This window comes from Homo sapiens, chromosome 11 (genome assembly GCF_000001405.40).
Source record: "Homo sapiens chromosome 11, GRCh38.p14 Primary Assembly".
Taxonomy (NCBI): Eukaryota; Metazoa; Chordata; class Mammalia; order Primates; family Hominidae; genus Homo; species Homo sapiens.
The window spans coordinates 44,764,593-44,792,366 of NC_000011.10; the positions used below are offsets into that span (position 1 = coordinate 44,764,593).

At 47.6% G+C, this 27,774-nt stretch overlaps 1 protein-coding gene across 7 annotated transcripts in view, besides 7 other annotated features; it reads left to right on the forward strand.

Moving 5' to 3' along the window:
* The window catches only part of TSPAN18 (tetraspanin 18), a 206,114-nt gene that overhangs the window by 38,283 nt on the left and 140,057 nt on the right, over positions 1 to 27,774 (forward strand). The gene's annotated exons all lie outside the window — the stretch shown is intronic.
* Positions 1,669 to 2,169: an enhancer, noted in NCBI's record as "H3K4me1 hESC enhancer chr11:44787811-44788311 (GRCh37/hg19 assembly coordinates)". NCBI's record gives its function as "activates a minimal SCP1, AML or CMV promoter by ChIP-STARR-seq in primed H9 embryonic stem cells {active_cell/tissue: H9 hESC(primed)}" and the evidence as "EXISTENCE:reporter gene assay evidence [ECO:0000049][PMID:30033119]".
* Positions 9,546 to 10,320: an enhancer, noted in NCBI's record as "H3K27ac-H3K4me1 hESC enhancer chr11:44795688-44796462 (GRCh37/hg19 assembly coordinates)". NCBI's record gives its function as "activates a minimal SCP1, AML or CMV promoter by ChIP-STARR-seq in naive H9 embryonic stem cells {active_cell/tissue: H9 hESC(naive)}" and the evidence as "EXISTENCE:reporter gene assay evidence [ECO:0000049][PMID:30033119]".
* Positions 12,285 to 12,786: an enhancer, noted in NCBI's record as "H3K4me1 hESC enhancer chr11:44798427-44798928 (GRCh37/hg19 assembly coordinates)". NCBI's record gives its function as "activates a minimal SCP1, AML or CMV promoter by ChIP-STARR-seq in primed H9 embryonic stem cells {active_cell/tissue: H9 hESC(primed)}" and the evidence as "EXISTENCE:reporter gene assay evidence [ECO:0000049][PMID:30033119]".
* Positions 12,787 to 13,286: an enhancer, noted in NCBI's record as "H3K4me1 hESC enhancer chr11:44798929-44799428 (GRCh37/hg19 assembly coordinates)". NCBI's record gives its function as "activates a minimal SCP1, AML or CMV promoter by ChIP-STARR-seq in primed H9 embryonic stem cells {active_cell/tissue: H9 hESC(primed)}" and the evidence as "EXISTENCE:reporter gene assay evidence [ECO:0000049][PMID:30033119]".
* Positions 15,807 to 15,976: an enhancer, noted in NCBI's record as "experimental_21411 CRE fragment used in MPRA reporter constructs". NCBI's record gives its function as "activates a minimal promoter by MPRAs in K562 erythroleukemia cells, with activity observed for both the introgressed and non-introgressed 11:44802034 variant alleles {active_cell/tissue: K562}" and the evidence as "EXISTENCE:reporter gene assay evidence [ECO:0000049][PMID:34662402]".
* Positions 20,817 to 21,418: an enhancer, noted in NCBI's record as "NANOG-H3K27ac-H3K4me1 hESC enhancer chr11:44806959-44807560 (GRCh37/hg19 assembly coordinates)". NCBI's record gives its function as "activates a minimal SCP1, AML or CMV promoter by ChIP-STARR-seq in naive H9 embryonic stem cells {active_cell/tissue: H9 hESC(naive)}" and the evidence as "EXISTENCE:reporter gene assay evidence [ECO:0000049][PMID:30033119]".
* Positions 21,419 to 22,018: an enhancer, noted in NCBI's record as "H3K27ac-H3K4me1 hESC enhancer chr11:44807561-44808160 (GRCh37/hg19 assembly coordinates)". NCBI's record gives its function as "activates a minimal SCP1, AML or CMV promoter by ChIP-STARR-seq in naive and primed H9 embryonic stem cells {active_cell/tissue: H9 hESC(naive and primed)}" and the evidence as "EXISTENCE:reporter gene assay evidence [ECO:0000049][PMID:30033119]".

Consider the following 27,774-nt stretch of genomic DNA (forward strand, 5'->3'; position numbering starts at 1 on the left):
GCCCTCCAAACCACCACTTCCATGTGAGAGGGCTCTCAGCTCTTGCCCAAGGGGTGCAGGGCAGGAGAAGGGTGGCTTCACTCTTGTCCTCACCCCTAGACATTTACTCATGGGTGAGGGCAACGGGGCCACCTTGGTGCAGGAAGTGAGTGTTGATGGATGGCAGGGAGTGAGCCCTTCAAGGAAGAGTAGAGCTCCTGGGGGCTCCAGGCAGGGTCATGAGGGCTCATGGAATCTGTATCAAGGACCCCTCCCTGACCTCAGCCTCCCCCATACCCACCACAGTCTTGGGACCGTGATAAGGAGATCGCTTCCTAGGGTGATTACCTTCCCTCTGCCCTCGATAATCTTTTGGACAAAGTCTAAATCCACAAGTACTAGGATCAATCACCACATTCCATGGTGAAACTGAGAACAGAAAAGCCTTGGTCTGTTTCGGAGGCTCTGGGAAGTCCTTCTTGAGCTGACCATGATTCTGGGACTGGTGGTGGGCTGGGTGGCCTCATGGAAGCTTTCTGGATGAAAAGCCAGGATGTCTGTCCTCTGAGCAGCCTCAGCCACCAATGTGACTTATAAGTCATTTCCCTCATTGGTCCTCATTTTCTCATTGTAAAATGAGGCAGCTGCAACTTGAATCTCTGTTCCAGCACTCACGCCCTCCATTTCTGGGATTCCAAGACCAGGGCTGAAATAGAAGAAGTGACAGGTCAGGGGTTGGGAGGTTGTGGAAGGCCATGGAGAGGAGAGGGGATCTGAAAACTCCGAGGAGATCTGATTGCCTGTCTTGGGCAAAGGACGATGGCTCCGACCCTTGGTGGTAAATCACAGGGTCCGAGGTGCAGAGGAACCTTGGTTTGAGTCCCTGCCTATCAGAAGAGAAACCAGCAATATGATGGAGGGCTTCATGCGCCAGGCACAGTGTGACGCTCACTCACTGCACCATCCCATTCTGTCCTCTCATCTGTCATGTCATCTTGCCACTATGATCACCTCCACATTACAGAAGAGAAAACCAGGCCTCAGAGAAGTTAAGTGACTTGTCTAAGGTCACATAGCACTGAGTAATGTCATCGAGATTTGAAGCCACTGCCTGAACTGCCATACAATTCTTGTGTCTTTTGCTTACTTCAGTCTGTGACTTGAAGCTTAAGATTAAAAATAATTAGCCAAATCATCTCTCTGAAGTTCCATGTCCTGTAAAAACATAAAAATGGTTTGTTTCCTTGTCCTATACTTTGTTTTGTTTTGTTTTTAAATTTTGGGCATCTCATGAAATCCCTGCAGGCCTTGATTTTCTGATCTCTAAAATGGGACAGTGACACCTACTCACAGGTTGCTTTGGGGAAGACGAGGAAGACTTAGGAAGCTCCCCGCACTGTTTCTTGTACATGTGCCCTCAACACCCGCTCCACCTGCTTCCCTGCCTGGGTTGCTGGTAGGTGGTTGGGGTGTGCAGATTGTAAAGTGCTGCACCACTGCCTAATGGCATTTTCTATTTTGGCTGCCTCTGTGCCCATAGTCAGAAAGCACTTGGCCACTTTCTTAGTCACCAATCTGATAGTTCACTCACCCTTCTGGAGTGTGCCACTGGCTGCCCTAGATTATTTTAAGCTGGAATCCAAGACAGGGTGGCCGGCTCCCAGGGGCAGATAAAAACAGGGCCAGGCTGAGGCCTTAGTGGACAGTGTGGGAGGAGAAGTGAGGCCTGGGGCCTACTCAGGCTGTCCCTCACTGACAGCGTCTGTGTCCCACGGCTCACCCTGCCAGCTGCCAGGACCATAATCTTAATTGTAAACCTCCTGGCAGCAGCTGCCCTGATCCCCACAGGAAGCGGTTGCCTTATCACAGAGCCTGGATCCTGCCCAGTATTCTTAATCTGGAGAAGGCGCTGAAGTGAGTCAGAAAAACCTTCCCATCCCCAGGACCTTTCTTCTCAGGGACGTTTCTCCATCAGGGGAAGTCGTGGGCCTCAAGCCTCGGTGTATAAGAGTAAAAAATCTCTTTAAGTGCAGAGCAAAGCAGCAGGGGTGCTGTTGTTCTTGGTTTACTTTCAGGAGGACAGCCCAGGGAGCAGAGCTATTTAGCCTTGCCCCTCTTGTTAGCCAGGAAACAGATAAACATTATAGCATCACAGGGAAAATATAAAGATGACCACAAAGCAACAGGCAGAGAGGCATGTGCTGTCATGGAAAAGCTTTGCTGGGGTTTTGGAGCCAGAAGATTGGGGGCTGAGTCCCAGCTCTGCCCTTCAGTAGCTGTTTGGCTTGGGGGTGAGTGACTTGATCCCCCATAGCCTCAGTTTTCTCATCTGTAAGATGGGCAAAGAGCATGCACCCCACAGGGTGGTTGTAAGGTCAAGGTGACTACCATGGGAAGCCCCTGTTTGCTTTGAACAATGGCAGCCCCCTTGGAATAGTGTAGCCTCCCAAGGTGACCTCTTTGAAGAGTGCCAGGCTCTTGGGATGTAAGAGCTGGGTGTTTGTAACCAAACAGTGGGGTTACCCTGGAGACACATAACTCCTTCTGTGTGAGGTCTAAAAAAGGGCTGTGAGAGGGACCTGGGTTGTGTCAGCTCCCTGTCCTGATGTGCTATCACTTGGAGCTACCTCAAGTATGAGCAGTTCATCCCAAGCCTCTAGCTGATGGCTGACACTTCACTCACAGCCATCTTTACTGGAGTCTTTCTGTAGATGATTGTTAATCCTACCCACACCCCAGAAGGCGAGCATTAATAAGCTATTTAAATGACTCCAGGCTTCATGTCTAAAAAGCAGCAAGGTTAAGGACCCAAACACAGGGTTCCTAGCCCAAGGACAGTGTTTGTGGGAGCTCCTCATGGCATTCTCTGCATCTAGAGGTGCCCTCTGTGCCCATGGTGGCACTCTTCTCCAATTCACCACCCAGTCTTGCACTGAGTGTGGAGCTCAGGCAGAAATGAAAGTCTCCTGATGTTTTTATCTCCCCTGCCCATAGGGCCTGAGGCAGGCTGAGTGAGAGAAGGCAATTTCTATGGATTCCCCAGGCTTCAGTTTATCTATTTTTTTGTTATTGTTGCTCAAGCTTTTGGTATTCTAAGAATCCATTGCCAAATTCGAGATCATGGAGATTTACTCCTGTGCTTTATTCTAAGAGTTTTATTTAGCTCCTATATTTAGGTCATAGATTCTTTTTGAGTTAATTTTCATATATAGTGTGAGGTAGGGATTCAGTGTCATTCTAGTGTATGGGGACATCCACTTGTCCTTGGCACTATTTGTTGAAGAGACTGTCTATTCTCCAGTGTATTGCCATTGCTCCTTTGTCATATATCAGTTGACATATATATGCGGCTCTATTTCTGGGCTTTCAATTCTGTGCCAATAATCTATTTGTCTGTACTTTCACAAATACCACACCATTTTATTACTGTATCTTTATAGTAACTCTTAAAGTTGGGTAGTGTCAGGTTTTCCAACATTGTTCTTCTCTTTCAATTTTTGATTGGCTATTCTGGGTGTTTTGCTTCTCCAAATAAACCTTAGAATCAGTTTGTTGATATCCATAAAACAACTTGCAGGATTTTGATTGGGGTCGTCTTGAATCTGTATATCAAGTTGGGAAGAACTGACATCTTGACATTATTGAGTCTTCCTATTTTTGAACACTGATCAGTGTTTTCATTTATTTACTTCTTTGATTTCTTCAATATAGTTTTGTAGTTTTCCTCATACAGATCTTACACATATTTTATTAGATTTATTCTCAAGTATTTTATTTCTTTAGGTGTTAATAGAAATGGTTTTATGTTTTTAAATTTCAAATTCCACTTGCTCCTTGCTGGTAGATAGGAAAGCAATGACTTTTCTATATTAACTTCCTATCCTACAACCTTAGTATAATTGCTTATTTGTTCCAGGATTTTTTTTTTGTAATTTCTTTCAGGTTTTCTACATAAATGATCATATCTTCTGCAAAAAAAGACAGTTTTACTTCTTCCTTCTCAATCTGTATGCCTTTTCTTTTCTTGTCTTATTGCAGTAGCTAGGACTTCCAGTATAATGTGGGAGAAGGGACATCCTTGCCTTATTCCTGATCTTAGCAGGACAGCCTCAAATTTCTCATAATTGAGTATGATATTAACTATCGGTGTTCTGTAGATGCTCTTTATCAACTTGAGGAAGATCCCCTTAATTCCTAGTTTGCTGAGAGTTTTTATCATGAATAGATATTGGATTTTGTCAAATGCTTTTTCTGCATTTATTGATATGATCCTGCAATTTTTCTTCATTAGATTGTTGATATGATGGATTATACTATTTGATTTTTTTTTTTTTTTTTTTTTTGAAACAGAGTCTCACTCTGTTGCCCAGGCTGGAGTGCAGTGGTGCGATTTCTGGTCACTGCAACCTCCGCCTTTCAGGTTAAGAAATTCTCTGCCTCAGCCTCCCGAATAGCTGAGATTACAGGCGCATGCTACCATGCCCAGCTAATTTTTTTGTATTTTTAGTAGAGATGAGGTTTCATCATTTTGGCCAGGCTAGTCTTGAACTCCTGACCTCGTGATCCACCTGCCTCGGCCTCCCAAAGTGCTGGGATTGCAGGCGTGAGCCACTGCACCTGGCCTATTATTTGATTTGTTAATATTGAACCAGTCTTGTGTACCTGGAATAAATCTCACCTGATCATGGTATCTAAGTCCTTTAATACATTCTTGAGTTTAATTTGTTAATATTTGTTGAGGATTTTTGCATTTACATTCATGAGAGATATTGGTCTGTAGTTTTCTTTTCTTGTAATGATTTTTTCTGGTTTAGGTATCAGCATAATGATGGCCTCACAGAATGAGTTAGGAAGTATTCTCTCCACTTCTATATTCTGGAAGAGATTATTGAGAATTGGTATAATTTCTCCCATAAGTGTTTGGTAGACTTCACCAGTGAACTCACCTGGGCCTGATACTTTCTTTTTTGCAAGGTTTATTGATTAGATTTCTTTAATATTAAGATTGTCAATTTCTTTTTTGTGTGTGAGCTTTGGCAGATTGTGTCTTTCTAGGAATTGGTACATTTTATCTAAGTTATCAAATTTGTAGGCATAAAGTTGTGCACATTTGTGGGCATAGAGTTGTGTATTTCTTTTATCCTTTCATGTCTATGGGACATTCCCATGTCCATGGGAACTGTAGTGATATCCCCTTTTTCATTTCTGATATTAGTAATTGGTGTCTTTTCTGGTTTTTCTTAGTTAACCTAGCCAGAGTTCTATTGATTTTATAGATCTTTTCAAAGAACCAGCATTTGGATTTGTTGAATTGATTTCCTGTTTTCTGAAGGCTATGTTTTAATCGTGGCTCTATCACTAAGTATCTGAGGCTTAGGGGTAAATCTCGTTGATTCTGCATCTCAATTTTTACATCTGCGGAATGGGTGTGGCGATAACAATGCCTAGCCCTGAGTTGGCTTGAGGGCAAAGGTCAAATGTGAGTACACATTCATTTATTCAGCAAATATTTGTTGGGCCCCTACCATGTACCTGGCACTGCTCTACATGCTGGGAATATCGTTTTGAATGAAATAGCAGAGTCTCTGCCCTTATGGAGCTTGCCTTCTGGTTGAGGGAAACAGAAACCAAACAAATACATTGAATATCAGGTGCTATTAGGTGCTATGAAGTTCAATAATGACAGGAAGGGGCAGGGAATGACTCGGGTGGTGGGTTGGGGGAGGATTGCTATTATGGATAGGAGGTACAGGGAAGGCCTTCCTAATCAGATGTAATTTGAGCAGAGACCTAAAGGCAATGAGGAACAAGCCTTGACATAATCTCGGGGAAGAGGCTTCCTGTTTGAGGGAACAGCAAGGGTAAGGCACATTAGGCTGGCTGGCATGTTGGAGGATCAGTGAGGATGCTGGGGTGCTACACCCAGGGTAGTGTGGATGGAGAGGAGGCCAGGAGTGAATTGGAGGCCCAGCCTGCACAGTGCTGCTAGCTAGGGTGAAGACTTTGGATTTTGAATCTAAAGACTCTAAGTTTGGCAGGAAGCCAGTAAGCAAGAAAGAGACAAGATGAAATTTATATTTTACTAAGATCACTCTGGCTGCTGGGTGGAGGGCAGTCTGCAGCGGGCAGGGAGACCAGTACAAACACTGATGTTGGAATCCATGGGAGAGGCAAGGTGGCTTGGAAGGTGGAATGTGGTGGAGGTGCTGAGAAGCCACAACATTCAGGATCTATTTTGAGAGCAAAGTTGATAGGACTCGCTGATAGGATGGGGATGAGAGAAAGAGGAGTCAAGGCCAACCACAGCTTCTGGCCCAAGATGGAAGAGCCTAGGGTGGGTTCTGGCAGAGAGTGGAGGGAGGGCATATTGAGTTCTTCTCAGGCATTTTAAGTTGAGATGCTTATTAGCCACTAAAGTGGAGGTGGAGAGGAGTGGATGGAGATATGCACCTGGGGTTCAGGGGTGAGGGTGGGGCTGGTCTCCAAATTTGAGAGCCATCAGCTTATAGAGAGTATTTCAAACCTTTGACCATAATGAGATCACTCAGGTAGTGAGTGAAGATGCAAAAGATGACAGAGGACTGAGCCACTGTCAAGGGCAGTCATGTGTTATTTGAGAAAATTCTGGTCCCAGGGAAGGGCGGATATGCTGAACAGAAGTGTGCACCTTAGGCAGGGGCAAAGGTGAGAGGCTTGAGGATGAGTGGAGAAATGAAGCTCTATGCCTTGCTGCAAGGTCTGGCTGGATCTTCTAATGTCTCTGTCAGATCATTCATTCATTCATTCATATGAACAAAAACACTTATCAAGTGTCAACTGTGCTGGAAGCACAGAGCTATTTACCTGTGGGCCCCAGATGTAAATGACATGTAGTGCCTGAGCTGGAGGAGGCCACCATTCAGCTGTTGATGCCTGACATAAAATGTGACAGGAGCAGCAGATGCATTCCTAGGTGTGTTAATCAGCTTTTCCAGAGAAACAACTGGTAGAATATACAGTCAGCTGGATATACAGATAGGATATCAGGATATATATCTGATAGGATATACAACCCTCTGTATCCATGGATTCTGTATCTGTGGATTCAACCAACTGTGAACCAAAAATATTCTAGAAAAAAATGCAAAATAATACAAAAACTTCCCAATACAGTGTATTAGCTATCATGAGTAAACTAGAGATGATTTAATGTGTACAGGAGGATGTGCATAGGTTATAAGCAAATACTATTCCATTTTATATCAGGGACTTGAGCATTAATACATTTTGATATCAAAGACGGTCCTAGAAGCAAGGGATGGATACCTCCGTGGATTCTAAGAGATGACTGTTTATATAAAGAGATTTATTATGAAGAATTGGCTCATGTGAGTATAGAGGCCGAGAAATCCTGAGATCAGCACTTTAAGTTTGTGACTCAGGAGAGTTGATGGTGTAAGTTCCAGTCCAAGGGCAGGAGAAGCCCAGTGTTCCAGCTCAAGAAGTCAGACTGGTGAAGTTTCCTCTTACTCAGCCTTTTGGTCTATTTAGGTCTCCAGTTGATTGGATGAGATCCAGCTACATTGGGGAGGGCCATTTGCTTTACTCAATCTACCTGTTTAAATGTCAATTTCATCCAGAAACAGCCTGGAAGACACTCCCAGAATAATGTTTGACCCAAATTATCCATCACTCTAGGATATATGACACCTAGAGCACATGATTTTTGTATACTTGCTTCCTCTATACAACAAAATTATTTTCAATAATAATGATGAAATAAAATCAATTAGAATAATGGCCAGAAAAGAAACAGACTGAAATTTTTGTGAACTTTGTATGTATAACCATGCCAGTAAACAACCGTTATGACATGGAAAATGTAAAAAGGTAACGGGTCAACAGTTCTTAATTACGTTAATAGATATTTTGACAAAAGAGAAAACAATACATGAAGAAACTTGCAAAATGCATTAATGCTTAAGTCCCTGATATAAAATGGAGTAGTATTTGCTTATATACTGTATACTTTAAATAATCTCTAGTTTATTCATGATAGGTAATACACTGTATTGGGAGTTTCTGTATTATTTTGCATTGTTATTTATTGATTATTTATTTATTTTGAGATGGAATTTTGCTATTGTTGCCTGGCTGGAGTGCAATGGCGCCATCTCAGCTCACTGCAACTTCCGCCTCCCCGGTTCAAGTGATTCTCCTGCCTCAGCCTCCCTAGTAGCTGGGATTACAGACATGTGCCACCACGCCCAGCTAATTTTGTATTTTTAGTAGAAACAGGGTTTCTCCGTGTTGGTCAGGCTGGTCTCGAACTTCTGACCTAGGCGATCCACCTGCCTCAGCCTCCCAAAGTGCTGGGATTACAGGCGTGAGCCACTGCACTGAGCCCGATTTTGAGTTCTTATTCTCCAAATGAACAGGTATCACAGGATCCACACATGTTGGCTTCTGACTGAATAAGTAGGTGCTCTCTGAATTCACACCTATGCAAACACAATGTGTTTTAAAGCCTAAGTAATAAAAATATGCTCATTTGAAGCTTACATACACATTATTAAAACTCACTGGCCAGGCGCGGTGGCTCATGCCTATAATCCCAGCACTTTGGGAGGCCAAGGCAGGTGGATCACTTGAAGTCGGGAGTTCGAGACCAGCCTGACCAACATGGAGAAACCCCGTCTCTACTAAAAATATAAAATTAGCCGGGCGTGGTGGCACATGCCTGTAATCCCAGCTACTAGGGAGCCTGAGACAGGAGAATTGCTTGAACCTGGGAGGCGGAGGTTGTGATGAGCTGAGATTGCGCCATTGCACTCCAGCCTGGGCAACAAGAGTGAAACTCCATCTCAAAAAAAAACCCAAAAAACAAAAAACAAACCCACCAGTGACTGCAGCAATTGTTTAGAACTTAGATCACTAAAAGATTTTTTTTTTCTCAAAGCAGAGCATTTTATCACCGACATTGTTTAGAACTGTCAGCTTTTTGTGGGTTTTAGGTTTGTTTCAAAATTCCCTACAGGCAGTTCATCCCTTTGTTGCCAGCTCCCTGGAAGGACGGCTTCCACTGCCCCGCTCTTGGCATGCCCATAGCAAGATGCTTCCAAGAGGGTTGCTGTGGGGGGATGGGATGGAACGGTGGTCAGAAGGTTGGGGAGACCCTGTAGCTGAGTCCTGCAATAGGACCAGGTAGTCTCCAGGTGGAATGGATGGACACAAGACCAGCCTGGGAACCCCTGGCGTCCTGGGAACCCTGGGTCAATAAGTATTTGGTTGCAGTTCGTAAAAGCCACCAGGGTTCTGAGCACCATTTGTGTACCCGTGCTTGGGGTTATGGAGAGCTGGGCACTAAAAGCTTCATCTCAGAGGCAGTTTGGAGCCTGCGAGGCTGCCTCCCTCCCGGTCCTGTGCTCCTCAGTCGGACTCCCACCCTCAGCCCCTCTCTCTCCTTCCCTTTCCCTTTCAGCAGTGTAGCCCATGGAGGCAGCTGTTCTAATTAAAAATCTCATAAATACCAGGAGATAAGGATCCAGGGGTTTTGTTTTTTATTTCTGCCGAGACTCCCCAGAGAGTCTCTTCAGTAGGAAAGGTCCCTTTGGAGCTGAGATTTTTCTCCTGGACTTCAAAGACAGGGCTTCTTAGGAACAGAACATCTGTTTAAACTGAACTTGAACCAAGAGGCAGGCAGGCATGTCCCACGGGAGAAGGAGGGGGCAGAGCCCAGGGGTGTGGTATCTGCTTTCTGTCCCTGGGGGAAGCTCCTCAGACAGGCTCATTCCTGCATCTCACAGTGTGTCCCCATGCTGGGCAGCTTCTCTTAGTAAATGCAGAGGAAGTGATGGCAGGTGGCCCACAGGCCTGGGGCCAGGCTTTGGGCTGACTGCTGTCCAGATAGCATCCAGGCTCCTGACCTCAAAACCTCTCTATTCAGGAGAGGTAGCAAGGAGACCTGGGGTGACAGAGTTGGCTCCTTCTGCCTGGAGGTCCCTGTGGTCCTCAGAAGTCACCTTGCAATTGGGGACCTCCCAGCTCTTGGCTTTTGCATGGACAGAGCCTCCTTCATCCTCCCTTCTTCCCTCCTTATTTCCCTCCCTTTCTTCTTTTTTTCTTTCCTCCATTCACTAGGCATCCACTGGGGTTCAGAGATGAAAAACTCCCACTCCCTGAGTTCGAAGGACTCACCACCTGATAGAACAACCAGGTTGATCTCAAAAGATAAGAAAAGTTGAGCACTTTGGTTGTGTGTGTGTGGCTGTTCTTGTTAAGACAATAAAACAATTCAGAGCTTGGAAAATGAAGGGAAAAGAAATCATTCACTTCCTCTCTTAGGACCAGAGCCTCCTTCGTTTCCTGCTTTTGTTCACACTCAGGCATGTGTTCAATAGTTGACACCAGAAAGTCCGTTCAGTTGGGCTTCCTGCTTTTTTTCCCCATCTCTCCTGGCCTTACAGTTTGTGAGATTCCTTCCTGGGCATCACAGGGCTGGAGGGCCCCTACTGTTGGACACTCAGCTGTGTCTAGTGTCTGCTGTCACCTGCATACCTCCTGGGAGGGGTCGCCAGGTACAGCAAATAAAATTAAAGGATGCCCAGCTAAATCTGGACTTCCTATAGACAATGACTCAATTTTTAGCATAAATCTGCCCCAAGCAATATTTGTTCCATGTACTATTTAGGAAGAATCACTGAAAGATTATTTGTTGTTTATCTGAAATTCACACTTCACTGGGCATCCTGTATTTTATCTGGGAACCCCGTACCTGGAGTATCTTTTTGCACGTGTGTAGTCAATGCTGCTTTACTTAATAATAGGGAGAACTATCTGGCTAATATGTTCCTCTCCCCATTTGTTGGGAACACTCTTCCTAACTTGAATCGCTCCTGTTCCTGCCCACACTTCTGGACTGCTCTGCAGCTTAGCGTACTTGGAGGTCACCGAATCCCTATAGGTCCTCTCCAGGCACGTTTCATTGCCAGCCTCCTTCTGGGAGCCTCCGGTGACTGCAAAGGTTTGGTTTGCTCCCTCTAGTGGCGGGGGTGGGAGGTGTACATTTGCACTCCTCTTGGGCCTCTGGGGCTGCTTTCTCCAGCGTCCGCCAGCATCTTTGGCAGGGATGGAAACAAGGATTGTGTTCTTGCCACGCTGGAGGGAGCAAGGGCTTGAGGATGTTGCTCCAGGCTGCTAACCTATAGAGGTCGATGACATCTTTCTCTCCATCAATGAATTTATTTTTCATTCCAAGGCAGCTTTCAGGGTGATAAAAATATAAAGCTAAGTGGCAGACGATTTTTTTATAAAAGTGATTGGAGGCTGGGAAGACAGGGTGTTGCCTTGTGGTTAAATGGATTTTCTGTTTAACTGAGGGTTAAGTAGAAAACTCGTTTTGATTCAACCTCTGTTGTTGCCAATCTTTCTAAAATGTATTAGCTGCTCCCTGGTTTTCCTAAGTGCACCATAATGACCATAATTGAATCTCTCTGCTGGCAGAGGATCCTGTGGGGCGTCTGGGCACACTGTTGTAAATGTCAGTCTTCACCGAGTGGCCCAGTTATTGGGCTTTACAGCCTGCAGTGCAGGCTGGTGTGCTCTGCAGTGGCCTTCACATTCGCTGTCTTCTCATTCTATCTGCCCAGCCACCCTGGGCCGGGACTCAGGAAAGGAACTAGTAAGACCACTGTATAGATGTAGAAACTGAGGTCCACTTGGGGAAAGATTGGCCCGAGTCACATCTGGCTGGTGGAGGGGCTGGGACTGAAGCCAGCAGAGACAGCTGTGGTATTGGCCCTGATTTAAATCCTGGTTCTCACTTGCTGGCTGGGAGACCATTAAGCTTCACGAGCCTTGGTTTCTTTATCTGTGAATTGGGCACGATAACCTTTCCCTACAGAGCTACTGCTGGGGTTAAGGGTGAGGATGTGGGTGGGCTGCAGACCACAGCCGTCATATATTTAAAGGGAAAATAGCACCTCTCCTGAAGAAGAAATCAACATACCAGTGCTGGGACCCTGTGTCCAGCTTCTTTCTGCTCTGCCGTCCTTCTTCTGAGTGTTGGTGGTTTTACAGTCAGAACTTGCAGCTGGAATGTCTGGGTTTGAGCCCTGTCTCTGCCCCCGACTCTCCGTGTGACTACAGTCTGGGCCTCAGTTCCCCGTCTATAAAGTGGGGATAATGATCGAAACCTGCCTCCTAGGGCTGCCATGAGGATTCCAGGGAAGGTAGCTGAGGAAGTGCTGGGTCAGGGCTGGCCATTGTCATCCTAGGACCTGGTTGAGTGTGTCTAGTTTCACCATGCTTCTCTAGATTTGGCTTATATTCTGAGTGTTTTAAAGGGATTGGGTTTGGGACCCAAGCTCCCTTTTGGTGCCCCAGGAGCCTGCATGGGCAGCCTGGGGAGGAGAAAGATACCCCCTCTCACAAGCTGGCTTCCTGCACTGTCTGGCACTTTACCCCTCTCTGGGTGCTTCCCCAGGCCTGGTTCTAAAGAAAGATGTTAAGAGAGACCTGAGGGTAGCTTAGGAGCGGACCTAGATGGGAGACTTCTGCCCTGCCATGGCCCCTGAAGTAGGGTACCCTGCCTGGGGGATGCTGGCCCTCAAATAGCTTCCCTATTTGGGAACTTTTGTGCTCCCCCATATGTCATACATTTCTAGCATCTCAAGAGGTGTTTGTTTTTTTCCATATCAAGGGATCCATGGAGTGAAGAGACCTATGTGTGACCTCTGAACCCTTTATGGGGGATTGGGTTGGGGGTGGGGAGGACACCCTGCCAAGGTGAGGCCACCTCATCTGGCCTCTGGGCTGCTGGCTCAGCCACCTCCTGGGTCCTGCAAGCAACTCTGCTTCAGCTCCCGGTCACCAGCACCTACTTATGCCAAGCTGCTGCCTTGTTCTCCAGCTCACCCACTTCCCAGGACCCCTCCGGAATTCTGTGGGGATGGGGAGGTTGCAGCTAAGTGAATAGTCACCCTATTATTTTAGGAGAGGAACAACAGCCTGTGTGCAAAGCCCCTGGGTAGGGCTGGTTTATTTATGCATTTGTCTTTAATGGGAAGGCTGAGAGAAATTGCATGGTTTGTGAATATTTACAGGCAAATTACTACAGGGAGGAAATGAATTCATTCTCTCTCCTCTCCCACTGTTAATAGATCACACTGTGGTTCCCTGAAGCCTGCCTCCCACCTCCCCCCCTTTTCTTTCTTGCAACTCCTTGTAGTCTTTATGCCAGCTCCAGGAGGGTGTCCGGGTAGACGTGCCAATTTAATTTACCATGCAGTTATTGAGCGCTAACTGTATGCCAAGCCCTGGTTCAGGGACTAGGGATACCCAGGTAGGCACCACATGTGTGGGTTCTGTCTGCGGGGCTCTGGGGCAAGCTGGCTCAGGAGAGAAGGTGCCTCTTAAAGGATTTTTCCCCCCAACAGAAAGGATACCCTAGGGGGTAGAGCACAGGAGAACCCTTGGAGAGGTTGAGCAGATGGGAATTATGCTCCAGGTGGGGGGTGGGGCAGTTAGTCTTCTGGTGTGGTTAGAGCACCCATGGGAGGAAGAAGGAGGTAGAACTAGAAATGGGGGCTGGGCTGGGTTCTTTCTAGTTCTGAGGTGGGGAAGGAAGGTGGGGAGAGGGGAGAGATTGCCCAGGATGGTGCAACTTGTGTAGCTAGCCAGAAGGAGCACACCTCTTGTTTAAGGGCCTGAGTTGGCAAATAGTAGCCTCTTATGGGGAGAGGGGAGTTTCTCCCTCATCTCCCCTTTCCTTGGGGCCAAGAGGTGTAAATGGGAGGTCTCTGGTCTGTCACTCCTCCCTCTCTTTTTCCCCGCAGACATCACCAATCAATTGCAGCACTTTTGTTGGTTCCAGAATCCTCTGGAAAACAAGCTAGGCAGGCACTATCTATTGATTCCAGCTGGCCTTCTAGAAGGAAGGTGAAGGGCCTTCTAGTAGGTGGGTGGCTGGACCTTAGGGTAGCCCCATCAATGAATTTGCAATGGAGGAAATCTCTTTGTGTCTCAGTTTCTCTACCTGTAAAATGGGGAGAGGGATGGCTCACTTGGTCTCTGAGGACTTTCCCAGTGCTAGCCAGCCAGCATTTGTTAATACCCGCATTTATTTAGTCTTTCCATTAAGCGTGTGTGCACTTACTCTGGCTGGTGCCAGGTGGGGCCCTGGGATACACAGGTGATCCTGGCAGCTGAGACCTGGCCTCCTGAAGCTGACAGTCCTGGCAGTCTGTGGTTCTTAGAACCTCAGGTGTTGAGGTCAGCTGACACCAAGGGCAGGGCTGTCTTGATTCTTCCAGATAGATGGCACCCAGTGCAGCCAGCTGTCCAGTGGCTGGAGGTCCTGGGGATCTCTGGGGACATTAGTCTTGGTCTCTGGGCCCACACACCGGGCATCCTCCCAGGATGGTTAGATGCCATTAGGCTCGGTCTATGCAGTAAGAGCCACAGCCAGGACCCAGGTCCTGCTGAGCCAAGTGAGGAGCTGTGGCCACTGGGGATCCTGAAAGAGCCCCAGGCCACATGTATCTGTCCTGGGAGCCTGCCCCAGGATTGACCCCCACAGCCCTTTTTGGCAAGGGAGAGGCCTCCATTGTGCTCCGTTTCCTTCTAGGTGCGCATGTTCCTCCTCAACCATTCCTCCCCACCCACTCCATGGCTGTGTTCTCAGTTTACCCCAGGTCATGTCAAGTGAGATCAGCCCTTTACCCTCGGGATTCTGAAATAGGGCCAGGGAAAGGCCAGGTATTTCTGAACTATCTAGGCACTCCCTGGGGCCAGATGCTTTCAGATGCCAATAAAAACACTGTGTCCTTTTTGTGTTCAGTGAAGGCCCCTCCTTGACCTGCTCTGGGCAGGAGTGACTAGGAATGGTCAACTGGTTTTAGACCCTGGAGAAGGTTAATGGGATCAGTAGCGTCCTAGGCTGGGAGCCTTTGAGATTAGAGTTGTGGGTGAAATTCATCAATCTCATGGAGAAAATGGAGTATACCACCATGGCCTTGTGAAGACATGGATGGCCTTCTACTGCTAATGGGTACACACACTGCTGCATGCTATGCCTTAATGCCTGCCTTCCATGCACACAACTACCCACATACCTGTGCATATTTACACACACACTGGCACACATACCTGCATACCGGTGCATATCTACATATATACCTGCACACCCCCCACATACCTGTGCACACCTATCCACATGCCTGTGCATGTCTATGTACACTCCTAAGTGCCTGCACATTCCTACCCACATCCTTGTGTCTGCCTATGCACACACATGCACACATCCCTGTGGACACCTACACACATACCTGTGTATACTTATGCACTCATCTGCCCACATCCCTGTGCACAACTACACACATACCTGTGTATACCTATGCACATACCTACCCGCATCCCTGTCTGCCTTTGCACATACCTGCACACACCTGCCTCCGCATTCCTATGCGCATCTATGCATACACCTGTACACATTTACACATGCACACACCCATTTGTGCAAACGTCTTCACACACCTCTCCTTCACCACCCCCGAGCTCCTACGCACCCACCCACACATCCTTCCCTACACATTTTCCTTCAGATTCATTCACTTCAAATATGTCCTCCCTGCCTCTCCCCCACTGTATGCAACACACACACACATGCACACACACGTTCACAAGCTGCAACCAAGCTATTAGATGAAATTGATTGTTTCTCTGCTGTGGGCCTGCAGGACTCAGGATTATCTCTTTACTCCAGATTATCCATTTACCTGGATGCCAAGCCCAGCAGGGGCTCCAGGGAGGATGGGAAGGTTGAGACAGGGACAATCTGGGCCCAGTACAAGTGCCCTCCGAGGCTGGGTACATTTTCTGAGTCCTGTTTCATACCTTCCTCTGCTCATTCATTCATTCATTCACCTACCATCCGTTCATTCCAACACTTACTGACAGCAGCGATCCAGACAAAAATATGGCCTTTGCCCTGACAAAGCTTCCCTTCTTCTTACAGTCCACCAACTTCATCATTTCCTTCATGGTTCTGATATTTGTTGAGGAGAAAATGACGTCGGACTTTGATGCTTGCTTTTTGGAACCAGACTTCCAGTCCTGGAATCCAGTCTGTGTCTGGAATCCACTTGCTAGACCTTGGCTATGTCATGTCACCCCCAAGCCTCTGTCTATTTCCCCATCTGTAAAATAGGGATCATGGTTCCTCACTCCTGGGGAGGGGCTTGAGCCCTGTGAATGGTAGCTGTGAATACAGACTTGGGAACTTCTGTGTTAATCAACAAAACCTTCCTTAAAACAGGGCCCCACAACTTGCCAGCTTCCTAAGGCTAGGGTGGGGACCCTGGGAAACAGTTTTGAATTCCTGGTGAGACTTTGAGCCTATCTGTGGAGTACCTGCTTTTCAGACACGGCGGTGAGCTTATTTTTTCTGTCCCTTTAAGAGAAAGCGGTTGCGAAAGGACTGGCTTATCACAAACATTAAGGACATCTGATGCTCTAGAGGTTTCTGCAGAGGGCCGGAGGAGCAGCCAGGAACTGGTGGCTTATTCATCATGTGCCTGCAGCCTTGCTGGAGGGCCCTGGCCAGTCTCTCCCCATGTGTAGAGTAGAGATAGGAAGACTGTTGGTGAAGGCTGGGAAAATCTTGCTGATGTCAGCATATTGAGCATGGTGGGTGGCTGCCTGCCATCACCCAGTGTCCAGCATGAGGCTCTTGTTGGGAGGGAGGGAGCTCTTCCATGCAGGTCCAGAAGCCGGGGCTGCCCAGGGCCTGGGGAAACCATGAGGTGGCTAAGTGGCTGCTTTGTGTTTGTTAAAATGTTACAACAACCTTAATTGGTCATTGGAAAACTGGACTGTTACCTTCTCGATGGCTGGGACACTGTGGGACACTATTGTGTCTGTGTTGCTCTAGAGGCTGCAGGAGAAGGTGCAGTAGCAGCACATAGTAGGACACAGCACATCCTTGCTGGATGATGGATAACTGGAATCTTCCAGCAGCCTGCGCTGGGCATCTGTCTTCTCCCACAGCCCCGGGCACATTTGGTAACAACCCAGGACTCTGGAGTCTTTTAACATAGCCTGAGTACCTTCATACACACTTACCCAGCAACTTTTTTCCTTTTCCCCCTAAAGAGCTACAGACTTTACTGAGGTTATCATTTATATACAGACATAAATTGTACAATAACATCCATTTTGACCTTGTATATGTCAGTCCCCGTAAGATAGAAATTTTCCATCAGCCCAGAAAGTTCCCTCTTAGCCCTCCCCAGTTAATCTCTGTTCCTTCCCCAGAGGCAACCACTGGTCTGCTTTCTATCACTATAGATTAGCTTTGCCTGTTCCGGAACTTGCTATAAATGGAATCCTACAGTAGGTACTCTCCTGTCAGTCTCCCTTCACTCAGCTTACTGTTTCTAAGATTCATTTACATTGGTGCCTGTTTTAGTAGTTTATTACTTTTTATTGCTGAATAATAGTCCATCTTATGTATATATAGTAATTTGTGTATCCATTCACCCTTTGATGGATGTAGTATTGTTGTCAATTTTTGGCTACTACATAATCAAGCTGCTATGGACATTTGAGTCCAAGTCTTTGTGTGAACACATGCCTTACTTTGTCTTTTGGAAGTATCCTGGAATATAGTGACTGCATCATAGGGTAGGTGTATGTATAACTTAGAAGAAACTGCCAGCTGGGTGCGGTGGCTCATACCTGTAATCCCAGCACTTTGGGAGGTCAAGGGAGGATCATGAGGTCAGGAGTTCGAGACCAGCCTGGCCAACATGGTGAAACCCCATCTCTACTAAAAATACAAAAAATTAGCTGAGCGTAGTAGTGGGCGCCTGTAATCCCAGCTACTCGGGAGGCTGAGGCAGGAGAATCACTTGAACCTAGGAGGTAGAGGTTGCAATGAGCAGAGATCATGCCACTGCACTCCAGCTTGGGTGACAGAGTGAGACTCCGTCTCCACAAAAAAAAAAAAAAAAAGAAAGAAAAGAAACTGACTGCCAAGCTGTTTTCCAAAATGCTTGTATTGTTTTTCACTCCCATCAGCTGTGTACTAGAGTTCCAGTTTCTCCACATCCTAGTCAATGCTTGCTATGGTCAGCTTTTGAGTTTTAGACATTCTAATAGTTGCGTAACGGTATCGCATTCTGGTTTTAATTTGTACTTCCCTATTTAACTACTGATATTAAGCATCTTTTCATGGGCTTATTGTCATTTGAACACTTTCTTTTGTAAAATATCTGTTCAAGTCATTTGCTCTTTTTTTTAGACAGTCTTGCTCTGTCTCCCAGGCTGGAGTGCAGTGATAAGATCTTGGCTCACTGTAGCCTCTGCCTCCTGGGTTCAAGCAATTCTTGTGCCTCAGCCTCCCAAGTAGCTGGGATTACAGGTGTGCGCCACCATGCCTGGCTAATTTTTGTATTTTTAGTAGAGATGGCGTTTTACCATGTTGGCCAGGCTGGTCTCGAACTCCTGGCTCCAGTGATCCGCTTGCCTTGGCCTCCCAAAGTGCTGAGATTACAGGTGTGAGCCATCACACACGGCCTCTTTTGCCCAATTTTTATTATATAATTTGTCCTTTTTAAAGGAATTCTTTAATTTCTAGAAGAAAACACAGGAGAATATCTTTAATGACCTTGAGGCAGGCAAAGATTTCTTAGATACCTAACCATAAAAGGGAAACTTGATAAACTGACTTCACTGAAATTAAAAACCACTGTTCATCGAAACACACTGTTAGGAAAATGAATAGGAAAGCTACAGACTGGAAGAAAATAATCACAACAACAATATGATATACCAAGACTCTTTCTTTTCTTTTTTTTTTTTTTAGTGAGACGGAGTCTCGCTCTGTCGCCCAGGCTGGAGTGCAGTGGTGTGATCTCGGCTCACTGCAACCTCCACCTTCTAGGTTCAAGCGATTCTCCTGCCTCAGCCTCCCGAGTAGCTGGGACTATAGACACGTACCACCACGCCCGGCTAATTTTTGTATTTTTAGTAGAGACGGGGTTTCACCATGTTGGCCAGGCTGGTCTCAATCTCCTGACCTCGCAGTCCGCCTGCCTCAGCCTCCCAGAGTGCTGGGATTACAGGCGTGAGCCACCGCGCCCGGCCTCCCAAGACTATTTCTGAGGACTTCCTTATGCCAGGCGCTTGCCTGACCCTGTGTGGTCCTACAAATCCCGCCCCTCTGCCCATCAATGTCTGTGCCAGTGTCTTATGTCATGGCCTGTCAGTCCCTCAAGGCTCTAAACTCTTTCACCCTGGCAGCTGCCTTCACAGAGGCTATTTTCTGGAACATACTTTTCCTGGCTGTTCACAAAGCTCCCTCACCCCTCTCGTCTCAGGGCTCAGCTTCAATGTTTCTTCCAAAGGAAAACCTCCTGGGACCCCAGAGGCACAGCCAGGGAGGGGTCAGAGCACAGCCTGCTTTGTTGGCTGAGGGAGAGATTGTAGTACAATTTAGAATCCCATCCCTTGGGATTCTTGACTTGGGGGTAAAAATGCAAGTCATCCCTTGACTTGGGGGTAAAATGCAACATGCCATTAATAAGGGGGTGCTGGTACTGACAAAATGGAGAGGATACGGGGCCATAGTCCCAGATCCAGAGTCCCCTTCTGGGGCAGACATTCCTGCCTTAGCTTCTAGGGAATGGAGAGGGACCGAACAGGCTGTAGTTAGACTGTGGGGCTCCCAGTGACATATGAGGACCAACCTGTACCAGCGTATGTCAGCATTTTTCTCTGGTGTGTACAGGCAGGCTCTCAGCCCTGCTCCCAGGGCCTCTGTTTTCAGCTCATGGTCTTGCTTTTACTCTTGTCTTTACCACAGTCATGTCCATCCATTACCTCTCCACAAAGGCCATAGATGTTGAGAATGTATTCAGGCATGAATGCCCCTAGGTCGGCCCCGCAAACTGGGTTGGACTCCGTGCTCTAACCGCTCTGGAGACTCTGTGCTATCACTTCCCCTATTTATCACAGTGTAATGCAATACTGTGGCAGTGTTCTTTGTTCACTGTCCGTCTCCATCCCGGGACAGAAGACTCTGTGAAGGAAGCTGCCACCCCCACCTTGTTCTCTGCTGCGTCCCCAGCCCTTGGGGCTGTGCTTGGTACACAGGAATCACTCCATGACTTGGTCAATCAGTGATGATAACCCAGCAACCACCGGCAAGGTAGACAGCACAAGTACATTCTCTCCATTTTCCCAATTGGGAAATCAAGGCTCCGGGAGTTAAATGGCTTGTTCAGGGTCTCACAGTTGGCAAAAGGCAGGGTTGTGAGTGAACAGCAGATCTGGTTTTGAATATTTCTACCCTAAGGCGACTGCACTACTAAGTTTAAACCTAATAATGTGAGTGGTGAATGCTATAAAAATGTGGAGTGCTGTATAAATAAAATGTATCATTAAGAATATCTATGGTGATTTTAATCATCCCTAACCACGGTAATGAGACAAAGCGTGGTTCTAAATCTGGGCAGGGCTAGTGCTAAAATCCAGATGTTTCCTAGGGGCCTGATATATTTTGCATTGTGAATGCTTTTGTTAAATGTTGATGAGATGCAAAAGGATATTTACAAAATAAATGCAGGGGATGGATTATAACAATACACTGAATACATGAGTACCCACCAACCAGATCCAGAGACATGGAAAACCCTGTATGCTCTGCCTGAAGTCACCTTTTTCCCATCCCAGATTTTCCATGTATTCCCTCTTGATTTTTTTTAATAGCTTTTTCACATCCGTTACTTTAATGTTTTCTATTCATTTATATATTCGTTCGGCAAATGCTTGTTGAGCTCTGCAACCACGGATAGAGTTACAGAGCTTCCGAATCCCACCCCTGTAGCTGTGCAGTTGTTGAAAAGGAAGAAATAGAGGTGTTTTTCCCCCCTCGTACAAAAAAGTTATCCTCATGGTACATGCCCCCTGCCCCCCACCGCCCCCTGAAGCAGGCTTTTATCCCCTCAAATGCCTCATTTGTGCTTTGGCCCAAACTGCAGCCCCCTGTGAGTTTTTTCCACAAAGTACTTGTGGCTTTGGCAAGGTGGTTTTATAATGTTGATAATGCTCCCTTTGTCTGGGGCCTCCCCCTGCCCCTTTCCTTTTCAGTCTATGTATTTTGGGTCTTTGGCGGGACTTTGTAGAACTTTGTACTTAGCAGGACTGGACTTAGCATAACTTCACTCCTGGGGTCTCTCAATCTTGCCACCTTGCCAAGCAGTGGAGCCAGGGCAGCTTCGATGCTGGGGTTCGAGGGGCAAGAGTGGGAGGTGCCCACAAACTTGCTGGCAGAGGGTTGCAAACACTTGCTACTTGCTATTTGTGTGACCCAGGGCAAGTCACTTAACTCTTCCTGTTTCCCTTTCTACAAGGTGGATACGGCAGTCGTGCCTACCTGGGCCATGTTGAGGGTTAGGCAGGCAGAGCCTGTGAAGTGCTGAGCACTGTGCCTCATGCACAGCGAGGGCCCCACCCAGCTAGCTGTCAGTAGGACAGGTGAGATGAGGGCACCAAGTGATGCCACAGGGCCCCGTGGTGTTTGGCAGTCTGAGATTTAAAAAGCTTGGCACACCCACCATGATCATTCAGGCTCCTGATGCTGTGCCCAGTAGGCTGGGCATGTGTTGTATCTCTGTTTGACAGATGAGCAGACTGAGGCTCAGAGGATGGTCCCTGCTGGTAAGTGACAGAGCACAGCAGGAGCTTCCTTTCTGTCCTGTGGGCTGCCTGCCCCAGGCCTCCTCATGGGGAGGGGCCAGATGGGCTTCTGGGGCTGGGGACAGAGGGTAGAAGAGGCTGCAGGGAAAGAAACTCTGTGGGTCTGGGCTTTGAAAGCTGGCGTTGGGTAGGTTCAGAGTGAAACTCGGTGATGTCCTCAGTGTGGTTCCCTGCCAGTTTTGTGGCATCTGCTACCCCTAGGGGGCAAGCATGAGGGCTCTCCTCCCCCGGACCCTGCTGGTGAGTGGAAGTTGCCCCAGGATCTAGGGTGATGTGGTCACTTCCCTGCTACCTGCACAGGATTATCCACTTACTTTTTTTTTTTTTTTTTTTTTTTTTAAAGACAGAGTTTCACTCTGTTGCCCAGGCTGTAGTGCAGAGGTGCGATCTCGGCTCACTGCAACCTCTGTCCCCTGGGTTCAAGCGATTCTCCTGCCTCAGCCTCCTGAGTAGCTGGGATTGCAGACACCCACCACCATGCCCTGCTAAGTTGTGTATTTTTAGTAGAGACTGGGTTTCTCCATGTTGGCCAGGCTGGTCTTGAACTCCTGACCTCAAGTGATCTGCCCACCTCGGCCTCCCAAAGTGCTAGGATTACAGGCATGAGCCACCGCTCCTGGCCTGTCCAGTTAGCATTTTTAACCCTTGCTCCATTTTCCTCTGCCACCATTTAGGGTGATCTTAGGAAGGCAAACTGCTCTGACTATTAGCCAGGGCAGGGCCTAATTAGGAAGGCATACATATGATGCTTGTGGGCTGGGGACAAGATTTGGACGGAGACACAATATAAATAGAATGGATTCTAAATCTATGCAAATTGTTTGGGGCAAAAATTTCAACTCTTGAAAAACAGTGATCTAAGCTGCCGATATTTGAGTGCTTTCTATGTGCCACTATTACTTCCATCAACTCACTTAATCCTCACATCAACCCTGTGATGTATGTACTTTTAGGATTCCCATTTTACAGATAAGGAAACTGAGGCTCAGAGAGGAGAATTAATTCTTATGTAGTTAGTGAGGAACACAGTTGCAATTCAGAGTCACCTTATGTGGATTCCAGAACCTGAACTTATCCCATCCCCACCTGCAATTCGGATCTTTCCACAGTCATGGGTGGTGCAGAGCTGGAAAAATTCCTGCAGTGGACAACTCAGTGTGCTGGCATTGCTGGCTGTGCAGGTTGATTCTCATCCTCTTAGACAGAGTGGGAAGGCAGCAGGCTTAGAGGGTAAGAGCCACACTGCCTGGCTCTCTTGGCTTCCCTGTGCCTCTGTTTCTTTATCTGTATAGTGTAAATAATAACAATCTGACTTAATAGGCTTCTTACGAGGGTTAAAGAGAGACTGCATGTAAAACGTTAAAACTCGCCAGGCCCAAAGCAATGAATAGATATCGGCAGATGTGAAGATCATCTGTGCCCAGGCAAAAGCCAGGGATCTGGCTGACCTGTCCTCCAGCTGCCAGGTGATGCTTTTGAGGGGATCTGTAGCAGTCCTTTTTTGCGAGGGTGCTCTCTGGAGTTCTCAGAAGACCCCAATGTTACTGCTCACTTAACTCGCCCTTCCCAGCCTGTGTGTTTGCCTTAAAGCCCCTCGTTACAACACAGGCAGACAGTCACACTGGCTTCTGTTCACTGTGGACCTACTAGGAGCCTGGTCCAGGCCCAGGGACATTCCAGGCATTCTCTCTGTGGGACAAGTATCATTATCCCCATTTTGCAGATGAAGAAAAGGTTGAGCATGGAAATGGGAGCTGGCTGGCAAACTTTTTCTCGTGCCTTTTCCTCCATGGTTCAGGCGGGGGCCCAGGAACCTTCGGTACACAGTTGGTGGTTGAAGCTTTGGAGGGCCAGGGACTCAGGGAGCAGCCCTCATCCCAGGACCCTCAGTCCCCAGATGGGCGGGATTGGTCACCGCAGAACCTCAGCAGCTCTTGGGCTGCACTGCTCAATGGAACTTTCTGTGTGGATTGAAATGCTGTCTACGTGCGCTGTCCAATACGAGAGCCACTTGCACATCAAACTGACTAGTGCAACCGAGGGACTAGCTTTTCAATTTTAATGAGTTTAAACGTCAAGAGGCACACGTGACTAGTGGCTACTATATTGGTCAGTGCAGGTTGGAGGATGGGTTTTCTTTTTTTCTCTTTTTTTTTTTTTTTTTTTGAGCCAGAGTCTTGCTATGTCTCCCAGGCTTGAGTGCAATGGCGTGATCTTGGCTCACTGCAACCTCTGACTCCCTGGTTCAAGCAATTCTCCTGTTCCAGCCTCCGGAGTAGCTGGGATTACAGGCATGTGCCACCACGCCCAACTAATTTTTGTAGAGATGGGGTTTCACCATGTTGGCCAGGATGGTCTCTGTCTCCTGACCTTGTGATCTCCCCGCCTCGGCCTCCCAAAGTGCTGGGATTACAGACTTGAGCCACCGCACCCGGCCTGGAGGAGGGGTTTTCTGCAAAGGGAAGTATTTGTGAGAGCTGGCAGCACCTTGCTGGTGGCTTTGTTTCTCCTGTACCTGAAGATTAAGAGGAGGTCATATGTCAGAGCTGATTTTACACTGATTCCCTCCCTGCCACTTCATGGAGAGAAGAGAGGGCCAAGTGACTGGAAGAATCCACGCATGCAGCTGGTGTTGCCTTTCTGCAAACACATCTACGTGGGGTGCCTGGGCTCGGCATGTGGAGAAAACCACAAAAAGCAACGCAGGCACGTGTGTTGTCCAGACAGGAAAAGGAACAGCAAGGGAAGGAAGACTTGCGGATTTTCCCTTCGCGCTAACCTGACAATAACACCCTCGTGTCAGTCTCTGGGTTTCATTCACCCAGGGAGAGAGTGTTGCATGAATTCATCAATGAATTCTTTTCACAGCTTACCAGTGTTTGCGTGACGCAGAGCCGTGATCATCAGAGAAGCTGAGGTTCTTATTTCCCAACAGAAATAAGTCACAGGCAGGGGAATAAAACAGCTACCCAACGTCAAATCTTGTAGGGATCTTCCCATCTTTAGCCAAAACTGAGATTAAATTATCCAATTTGGAGCCTTTGGAAGAAAAATGGCTCTATTGGCTTTTCCTTCTGCCAAGAAAAAAGCTCTTCAATTTGTCAGTTCCTTTATGAACTTGCTGTGTGTCTTAGGACAAGTTCCTTAATGTCTCTGAGCCCCAGTTTCCACACCTGACAAAGGCCTATCTTGAAGGGGGATTGTAGAAATTTGATGAGACAAAAAGTGAGGCTGGCTTTGGCAAGTAACAAAGCTCTGTTCATCCTTGAAAGTAGCCATGACATTGTGCAGAGGGAGGTGAGCTCTTGAGGAGGCTTCGAGATTGGTGATTCTGAGCTGGGAGCAAGCCAGGGGTGAATTGCGGGCCTGATACCCAGAATGATGGTATTCGTGGAATGAGAAGAAAAAAAATACCCCAGATCAGTAGGAAATGACTCTTTATTTTCCTTGACTGTCAACAGGACACCACAAGCACTGGAAAAGGAAAAAACAATAATAATCTTGTTCAAAATGTATCTCCAGGGGCCCTTGGAAAAGGCAGCCCTGCCCTCCTCCTAATTCTTGTCTCTGTGGGGCTGTGCCAGGCTCAGAGGAGCTGGAAGGCCCCCTGGAGCTCTTCTCCAATGCCTGTGCCCCTTTCTGAGTGCGTTAGGGGCATGAAGGATGATCTGGTGAGTCCACAGGATAGCTGGGTCTCTCAGGGTTTCTGGGGTGTCCTCATACTGTCCCTGAGTCTGAGACCTCAGACATCATGGGCTTACTGCCCCTGGTGGGTCGGGGCAGCAGCTTCACTGCTGGGCTCTAAGGGGTGTGACTGCTGCATGTTTCCACCCGCGTGTGTGCATGTGTGTGTGTGCATGTGTGTGTGTGCGCATATGTGTGTGTGCATGTGTCTGTGTGTGCATGTTTGTGTATGTCCATGTGTTTGTGTGTGCCTGTGCGTGCATATGTTTATGTGTATGTGTGCATGTGTTCGTGTATGTGCATGTGTGTGTGCATGTGTTTGTGCATGCTTGTGCACGCATGTGTGCATGTGTTGGTGTGTGTGGGTGCGTGCATGTTTGTGTGCGTGTGTGTGCATGTGCTCTTGCTTGTACGTGTGTGCATGTGTGTGCATGTGTGTGTACATGTGTTCGTGTGTGCATGTGTGTATGCATGTGTTCGTGTGTGTGCATGAGTGTGTATGCATATGTTTGTGTGTGCATGTGTTTTTGGTGTGTGCATGTGTGTGCATGTTTGTGTGTGCATGTGTTCGTGTGTGTGTGCATGTGTGTGCATGTGTTCGTGTGTGTGCATGTGTTCGTGTGTGTGTGTGCATGTGTACACTTGCTTGAACTATAGGAGAACACAAAAGAACATGGGATGCCAGATGTTTAAGTAAACCTGGAACCTTATCAGGCAGAGTGAGATACCCAAAAAGATGATGCCATGAGGCTTAGAATCCTCCCTCTCCCTCTGAGCCTCAGCTTCCTCATCTGAAAAGTGGGGCTGCTAGTAGCTAATTCACAGAGTCGGAGAACAGGTCCATGTAGGGCCAGGAGGACAAATCATAGCCAGGACAGGGTGACGTGGTGAGGCTGTCATCCTAAAGTTGGCTTCCTCTTGTGGATCCCCTCAGGAGATGTCATTTTTGTGTTTGAAGCTGGAGTTTCCTTCTATCTGGGTCCCCTCTTCTCCTGGGGGCATCAGTGCAGAGTCTATCCTGAGACTTCTCTCCAGACCCTCAAGAAATGAAGGCTAGCCTGGTTCCCATGGCCTGGTGTCCAGTCTGCTGCTGTCTCAAGTCTGGTTTGAGTAGTGGCCTCCCGAGAGACCCCGTTCCCTCTGAGTTTGGGGAACTGGGCCTGGGGGTGGTTTTCTCCCTTTCTCAGTCTCCCCTCACACCACTGAATGGGGGCAGGGGCATCACCAGTGGGAAAGTGCCCTGGACGTAGTGCTAGCCCTTGGCAGACTCCAGCACACACCTAGGGTGAGAGCCGTGGAGCCAATCTGCTCCTCCCACTTTGGGGGGTAGCCGGGGAGATATGCCTGAAGTGCATCTATAATAACTTTATGCACAAGTTTGAACTAATTGGCTCATCTGTTTAATTAATAATGGATACACCAGGTCCCCTGAAGAGGCTGGAGAGCATCCATCTGTCCCCCGACATGTGAAGGCTAGAAGCCTTGGCAATGATTCCGGAGCGAGTGGGGCATTTGTTTCCATTCTGAATAATGACCGCCCTGATGCCACCCACCCCGCCTCCTTCTCCTGGGCACTGGGAGGCACTCAGAGGCATCCTAGTCACTTCTTCTGTGGACTGTCTCCTCCTCCTGGTCCCCCCTGTGTCCCCAGGCTCCAGGGAACCAGTCTCTAAGGTCTGGGCATCTGCTCTGGGAAGAGGGGATGGGCTCCGGGAGCAATGTGCAGTGGACAGTGGCGTTGCCAGAGAGGGCTCACGGAGGGCTCGTGGCCAAGGGCAGCAGTGAATCTCCCTGGCTGTAGCACTCAAGGCACCCTCACTTCTTGGCTATGTGACCTCGACAAGCCATTTCACCCAGCGAGCTTCGGTTTGTCACAGCACTCACAGCAGATGATGGGTTGCCAGCAGTAAATTTGGGGCTAGCATTTTATTTGTTCATTCAAAAATACTTATTGAGCACCTACAGTGGGCTGCAGACAATGTCCTGGATAGGGGGGTGCAGCAGTGGACAGAAGCCCCTCCTTTGGAGAGCTGACACTCTAGTAGGAGAGGCAGACAGTTGAATAGGTATTCAATGTCAATTTATTTATAGACAGTATTTGTTTGTATGTTATATAAATATTATATAATTTCATGTGCATAATTAAATCTATATTTCTTATTGGCTCATATATTAATTATATATATCTACATAATAGTCCTGAGAAATTCAGTGAGTGATGCCGGGGGAAGCTGTTTTTGGTGCAGGTCAGGGACACCTCTGTGAGGGGTGACATTTAAACAGTGTTGAGGAAGTGAGGGAACAGCTTGGAGCATCTGCGGGGACAGTCGCAGGCAGAGGGGACCGCAGGCACGCACGGCCTGGAGCAGCCAG